General features: G+C 52.9%; 2 annotated features.

Moving 5' to 3' along the window:
* Positions 1-505: an enhancer, noted in NCBI's record as "H3K4me1 hESC enhancer chr6:166813225-166813729 (GRCh37/hg19 assembly coordinates)". NCBI's record gives its function as "activates a minimal SCP1, AML or CMV promoter by ChIP-STARR-seq in naive H9 embryonic stem cells {active_cell/tissue: H9 hESC(naive)}" and the evidence as "EXISTENCE:reporter gene assay evidence [ECO:0000049][PMID:30033119]".
* Positions 6,545-6,728: a silencer, noted in NCBI's record as "fragment chr6:166807002-166807185 (GRCh37/hg19 assembly coordinates)". NCBI's record gives its function as "represses an EF-1alpha promoter that drives an FKBP-Casp9 reporter gene in an ReSE screen in HepG2 liver carcinoma cells {active_cell/tissue: HepG2}" and the evidence as "EXISTENCE:reporter gene assay evidence [ECO:0000049][PMID:32094911]".

The raw sequence follows: 6,728 nt of genomic DNA, 5'->3' as shown, positions 1-6,728 counted from the left end.
TTATATAACAGGTCTGTTAGGAAAAAACTTAACTTTACAAAGGATCTTCAAGGGTGAAAGTGGTTGTGAATCAGTGACTCGGGTAATAAGAAGAGAGTCTTAGGCAATGTGTCTGAAATGAAGCCCAGCAGCTGTATTTCACAGCATCACGTAAGACTCTGTCGATCCACTCTTATTTTTTTTTTTTTTTTTTTTTGAGACGGAGTCTCCCTGTCACCCAGGCTGGAGTGCAGTGGCGCAATCTCGGCTCACTGCAAGCTCCGCCTCCTGGGTTCACGCCATTCTCCTGCCTCAGCCTCCCGAGTAGCTGGGACTACAGGCGCCTGCCACCACGCCCGGCTAATTTTTTGTATTTTTAGTAGAGATGGGGTTTCACCGTGTTAGCCAGGATGGTCTCGATCTCCCGACCTCGTGATCTGCCCGCCTCGGCCTCTCACAGGGATTACAGGCGTGAGCCGCGTGCCCGGCCTGAAGAAGCACTATTTAATACCACCTGCAGCGCAAAGGTGACTGAAAACAAGAAAGTGCTGTCTCTAGCTGGGGCTTCCTCGAGCTTCTGCCCGCTGTGCGCTGCACGTTGCCACCTGGATGTGAGACAGCACTTCACACCGGCCCTTCCAATCCTGCGTCCACATCTTCACCCAACCTCCGCCTGGACATGCTACTGCTCCTTCATTCCCTAACTCCGCTGAGACATTCCCATACATGCCATTTGCAAGTGATAAATCCCAAGATCCTGGGGTCCGAAGCTTCCGTCTTACCCCCCAGCACACCGTCAGCGGTCAGATCCTAACAGGTGTTCCCCTGCAGAGTTCTTGACTGTGCGCTTTTTCCCCATTCCCATCACCTCCAGCTTGTCTCTGCAATCGACACGTCTCATCCAGGCAATTGTAGTAACCTCTTGGCTGGCATCTTGCCACCACGTTGCCTCTCTCAATCTCTTCACATAGCAGCTTAAAATTCTGTCAGAAAATAATTGTGCCCGTATCACCTGACTATGTTAAACAACAACAACAACTTCAGCAGCTCTTGTTCTTCAAGAGAAAAATCGAAAACTCTGGGCTCTTTGGTCCAGCATACAAAGCCCCTGTGACCTTGGCCACATCAGCTCTCTTTGGTGAATCTCTAGGCACACCCACCTTAAAGGTATGCTCTCACGCTGTGCTGTCTGACTTGCTAGCCACTAGCCATATTTGGTATTTAAACTACTTACAATTTAAATTACTTGAAATTCAATAGAATTTAAATTTTAATTGTGTGGCCACACTCTCCACATTTCAAATGCTCGATAAGCAGGCTGCTGGTACATGAAAGTCCACAAGCAGGAGCTTCTGGACATTGGCAGCTAGACCTGCTTCAGCCACCCTGGTCACAGCGATCATCCTGCTCCCTGGCTTGCAGAGGTGGCTCGATGTGGCTACCACCTCCCTGCAAGTCTCACATGGATAGCTGCTCAGGAAAGCTCAAGTCACAGGGGAAATTAATGCTTCAAGGAAGTTTGAGATTCCAGCTTTCAAATAGCTTGAGTACAAAAAACCCATCTGTCCTATCCACCACACTCCAGCCTGCAGCCGCTCAAAGTCTCCACACAACTTTCTTCCTATTGTTCACCTCCAAAGTAACAGTGATGGCAGCCATGACATCCCCACCCAAATAACACAGCTGCTCTTCACAAACAATGAAAACATGCACATCGTCTCCCAAAGACAAAACCCAAGTCTCACCAGTCTCTCTTTACAGCCCTGGACAATCTTTCTCTTCCAGTCCAGTTCAGACTGAACACCTATAAACCATGAGCAACGCAGGAAGTTGGCCACCATCAGCACAATCTATATAAGGTAACAGGGAAATGGGGGTGGTGGAAGAAATCAGTTCCTCTAAGGCCCAGGATGAAAATGTGAATAGCTACTGTCATGGGTTGAATCAAGGTTTCACCCCTCCAAAAAAAATTATCCTGTTGAAGTCCTAACCCCAGTACCTAAAAATGTGACCGTCTTTGGAGACAGGGCCTTTACTAAGGTAATCAAGTGATGATGAGGTCATTGGGGTGGGGGGACCTAATCCAGCATGACTGGTGTTCTTATGGAAAGGGACATCTGGACACAGAGAGGGACATACACACAGGGAGGACGATGTGAAGAGACACAGGGAAAAGGTGGCCCTCTATAAGCCAAGGAGACAGGCCTCAGGAGAAATGTGCCCTGCCAGCACCTTGATCTTGGCCTTCCAGCCTCCAGGGCTGTGAGAGCAGCCTGCTGTTTAAGCTGCCCACCTGTGGGACTTTGTGATGGCAGCTGCAGGAAGCCAACACAGCTGGCACAGCCCTCAGCCCCTGTGCAGGTCCCTGTACCCGTGATGTTCCCAGCTGCCCCTCTCACACCGTCCTCGAACCTGGCCCCAGAGCTGCTTGGGAATCTTTGTCTGTATTTCCCTGTGGTCCCAGAAGGTGGAGGGCCCCTGCCCTTGGGTTGCTGCTGTCTTCTGTTAATGTTTCCCCACTGGGCTGGTGGTGCGGGGGTGCTTCCTCCCTGCCGCATGGAGGAACAGTGCCCTGACATCCCCCTTGCCAGTCAGGAGAGGCCGCCCCATGGTGTGGCCCCTGCCTGTGATGGCACAGTCTTGAGAGCCAGGGTGGCGGAACAGCATTGGTGTCCCTAGGGGAAGCATTCCCCCAGCAGGGCCCCGGAGCACAGAGAAAGGAAATAGTTTCTTGGCAAGTTGTTGGGTATCAATGTGAGTAATTCCACTATCACGTACAGTCCTTCAATCTCCACTTGTAGAGTCTGCAAGGGGAGAAAAGGCACCAGATAGTACAGTGGCTCAGAGCATGCACTGCTCAACCAGGATGCACCCCAGTCCCACCAGGGCTGTGAGGACCCCTCAGTAGGCCGCATCTCATTCTAAAGAGGCACAGTTCCTGAACATGGTGAGACCCATGAATCCTGGAAGTATCAGCCCATTCATTCCCTTGCTCCAGGTTTGGGCAGTTGGGACGAAGTAGCACATAAGGGGTGGCTTAAACAGCACACATGGACTCCTTGCCATCCTGGAGGCTGGAAGTCCAAGCTCATGGTGCCAGCAAATGTAGGTCCTGGTGAGGGACATCTTCCTGGCTTGAAGAGCCACCTTCTCACTGTGTCCTCCTATGGCAGAGAGAGATGGCTGTAGGAAGAGGTTTCTCTTCCTTTTCTACAAGGGCACTAGTCCCATCATGGGGCCCCACCCATATGATCTCATCTAAACCTAACCCTCCCCAAAAAGGCCCCACCTCCAGACACCATCACGCAGGGGGCCAGGTCTTCAGCACATGAATTTTGGGAGGACCCAGATACTCAGCACATAACACGTTGCTGTGAGGTTCCTGGTCAGAAACAATACTGTGTGATTACCATGTGGAGAAGCACCGAGTTAACCCACAGGTGTTACTGGAGCAGAAGCAGCATGTGGTCCACATACTGGGGTCCACACATGTACAGAGCTCTCTCCAGACCAGACCAGGCCTGGGGGACCCTCCTACTCATCCAGTCAGCGAGGGCCCCTTCCTTGCTGAGGCCACAGGGAAAGTGCAGTGGGAGGTTCTCCAGGGGCCTGGGCACCTGCTTACACAGCACACACCTGTGCTTGCCCCTCACCCCCACCCCCGCCCCCACCCCCGCCCCCAGCCACTGGATATCACCTATCCACTTCCGCCTCCTGAGGGACACCTGCTGGATATCACCTATCCACTTCCGCCTCCTGAGGGACCCCTGCTGGATATCACCTATCCACTTCCGCCTCCTGAGGGACCCCTGCTGGATATCACCTATCCACTTCCGCCTCCTGAGGGACCCCTGCTGGATATCACCTATCCACTTCTGCCTCCTGAGGGACCCCTGCTGGATATCACCTATCCACTTCTGCCTCCTGAGGGACCCCTGCTGGATATCACCTATCCACTTCCGCCTCCTGAGGGACCCCTGCTGGATATCACCTATCCACTTCTGCCTCCTGAGGGACCCCTGCTGGGTACATCAGCTCGTTGGCTGGGCGAGTCCGAGAGCAGCATTTTGTGAAGGGCAGGCAGGACACTGGGGTCCCCGGACCAGGCATTTAGTCTTCCAGGGCCCAGGAGAAATACATTTCTCAAAAAGAAAACAGCTGTTTGCCTAAAGGGCATGATTTTCCAAAATCTCAGAGGCTGACCATGTGGTTCCCATATTGGAGCTGGTCGTGGATGCTGGTGCCTCCACCATGCAGACGCTTCAAGCTTCCTTGTCCTTGCAGGTGACAGAGTTGCTCCAAGCTCAAGTTTTAGCCGAACCCTCATACTAGCCTCCCTCCCTGAGGCTACTAGGACATGCGGGGCCCTTTGTTCTGCTGCCTCCTCTGCCTGGAGCACCTTTCCCATGCCTCTGCCTCTGCTCCTGATTTAGATGTCACCTCCTCAGAGAGGTGCCCTGATTATCCTGTCCACAAGAGCGACCTCACCCACCATCAAAGGTCGGCTCCCTCCCAGCTCTCTGCCACTGGCCCTTCTGTCATTAGCATAATTTTGGATGCAGTAATTCTCTCTCTCTCCCTCCCTTTCTTCCCCCACCCACCTCCCTCTCTTTTAGCCTATTTCTCCAGTTGGAATGTGAGCACTGCAGATGGCTTATCTGTTTGTGTTTTCTTGAACTCCAGATACACTCAGGCAACGGGCAGGCCCTTGGCAGGGCTGTGGGCTGGATGAAAGGCGGCGCGATTGGCCATGAGTGAGAAAACACAGACACGCGTGTGAGCCACATGAAAGGTCTGAGCTGAGCTGGACTTCTTAGGAAAAACTTCCTCCTCCTCTTGCTCCCACCTCTCCCACCTCAAAAAACCACTGGAAAACTTGAATTTCCACACACAGGACTGGCAGGGCATGAAAGTAGAAAAATGTATACACTTCGGCAGTCACAGGTTAAAACTGTGGATCCAGCTGGGCGTGGGGGCTCATGCCTGTAATCCCAGCACTTTGGGAGGCTGAGGTGGGCAGATCACGAGGTCTGGAGTTCGAGACCAGCCTGGCCAACATAGTGAAACCCCGTGTCTACTAAAAAGACAAAAAAAAAAATTAGCCAGGCATGGTGGCGGGCACCTGTAATCTCAGCTACTCAGGAGGCTGAGGCAGGAGAATCGCTTGAACCGGGAGGCGGAGGTTGCAGTGAGCCAAGATCACACCATTGCATTCCAGCCCGGGTGACAGTGCGAGACTCCGTCTAGAAAAAAAAAAAATTGTGGCTCCAGCCATTATGAACTGTGTGGGGACAAATCAGCATCTTAGGAGCTTGATGACTTGAAACGTGACATGCAGTGAAGGCAAACTTCTTCCTCCTCCTGAGAGATGTCAGGGCTAGGGAGCTGTGAAACGAATGGAACAGAGCCAGTGCCCAGCCAGCCCCAGTTCCCTCTCTCCTTCTGGGGACTTGTTGACAGTATCTCGTTACTATTGCAGGCAATGTCCCCTTCTGCTGAATGATCCAAGGACACCAAACTTTGCCTGATCGACAGGGGAGGCTGCTAAGCTGCACCTGCTCCCTGTAAGAGTGGAGTCAGGCCAAGGCATAGAGGCACACAAATACTAGCTTTCAGACTTGCTAGGACTACGTCCAGTCTCATCACAGCTGTCCACGTGGAAGTCTCTTTGAGGTCAAGCAAACAAATTCAACACAGTCAAACTTTAAACCATTCTGTGGGTGAAAGGTTTCTGAAGAATAGACAGATCTTATTCTGCAGTTTAATGTTTCTGGCTAATCTATGTAATTGTGTTATATAGCGCATTCACCTCAACTATGCCACACTTCAGCAGGCTACTCACTCCCTCTCTCATATCACATTTAGAAATGGGTCCAGAGAGGCCTGGACAACACCCTGAGAATGCAAAGTTTTCCACTCAAGTTCCAACCACTGGGATGGGCGATAGCCCTCTGCTAGGGCTGGTCTAGGTGCTCCCTCCCTGGGTATCAGCTGAATTCTACCTGGTGTTGGCAGTGCGGTGTTCCAAAGCAAAGTCCCACAGATACTGTACTTTCCCAAGCACACAGATTCTCTCTGAACCACAGGGCAGCTGCCAGGGGATAGGGGAAGAGCGGTGTAGACAATTCAAAGCTGTCTTTCCTACTTTTTTACCAATATAAACTTAAAACCAGGTATTGTGAATACTCACCTGATTTTCGGTTCATATAGAGGTGTTTTTTGAGTAGACAGTTGTCAAATTTGGTGTTTCTGTGAGGAAGACAATCAGTGGAGGCTTCTATTCGGCCGTCTTGCCCCATCTCTTCCCCATGGACAGTTTTTTAAATAGTTCAGTACATGCGAGTGAATGCCACTGAGAGGTGACAGCGTGCTGGCAGTCCTCACAGCCTTCGCTCGCTCTCGGCGCCTCCTCTGCCTAGGCTCCCACTTTGGCGGCACTTGAGGAGCCCTTCAGCCCGCCGCTGCACCGCAGGAGCCCCTTCCTGGGCTGGCCGAGGCCGGAGCCGGCTCCCTCAGCTTGCGAGGAGGTGTGGAGGGCGAGGCGCGGGCGGGAACCCGGGCTGCGCGCAGTGCTTGCAGGCCAGCGCAGGTTCCAGGTAGGTGTAGGCTCGGCGGGCCCTGCACTCGGAGCGGCCCGCCCTGCCGGCCCCAGGCAATGAGGCTTAGCACCCGGGCCAGCGGCTGCGGAAGGTGTGCTAAGTCCCCCAGCAGTGCCGGCCCACCGGCGCTGCGCTCGATTTCTCGCCGGG

The sequence above is a fragment of the Homo sapiens genome, chromosome 6 (genome assembly GCF_000001405.40).
Source record: "Homo sapiens chromosome 6, GRCh38.p14 Primary Assembly".
Taxonomy (NCBI): Eukaryota; Metazoa; Chordata; class Mammalia; order Primates; family Hominidae; genus Homo; species Homo sapiens.
The sequence above is the reverse complement of the archived record's forward strand: the minus strand, read 5'-3'. Positions and strand labels throughout refer to the sequence as shown.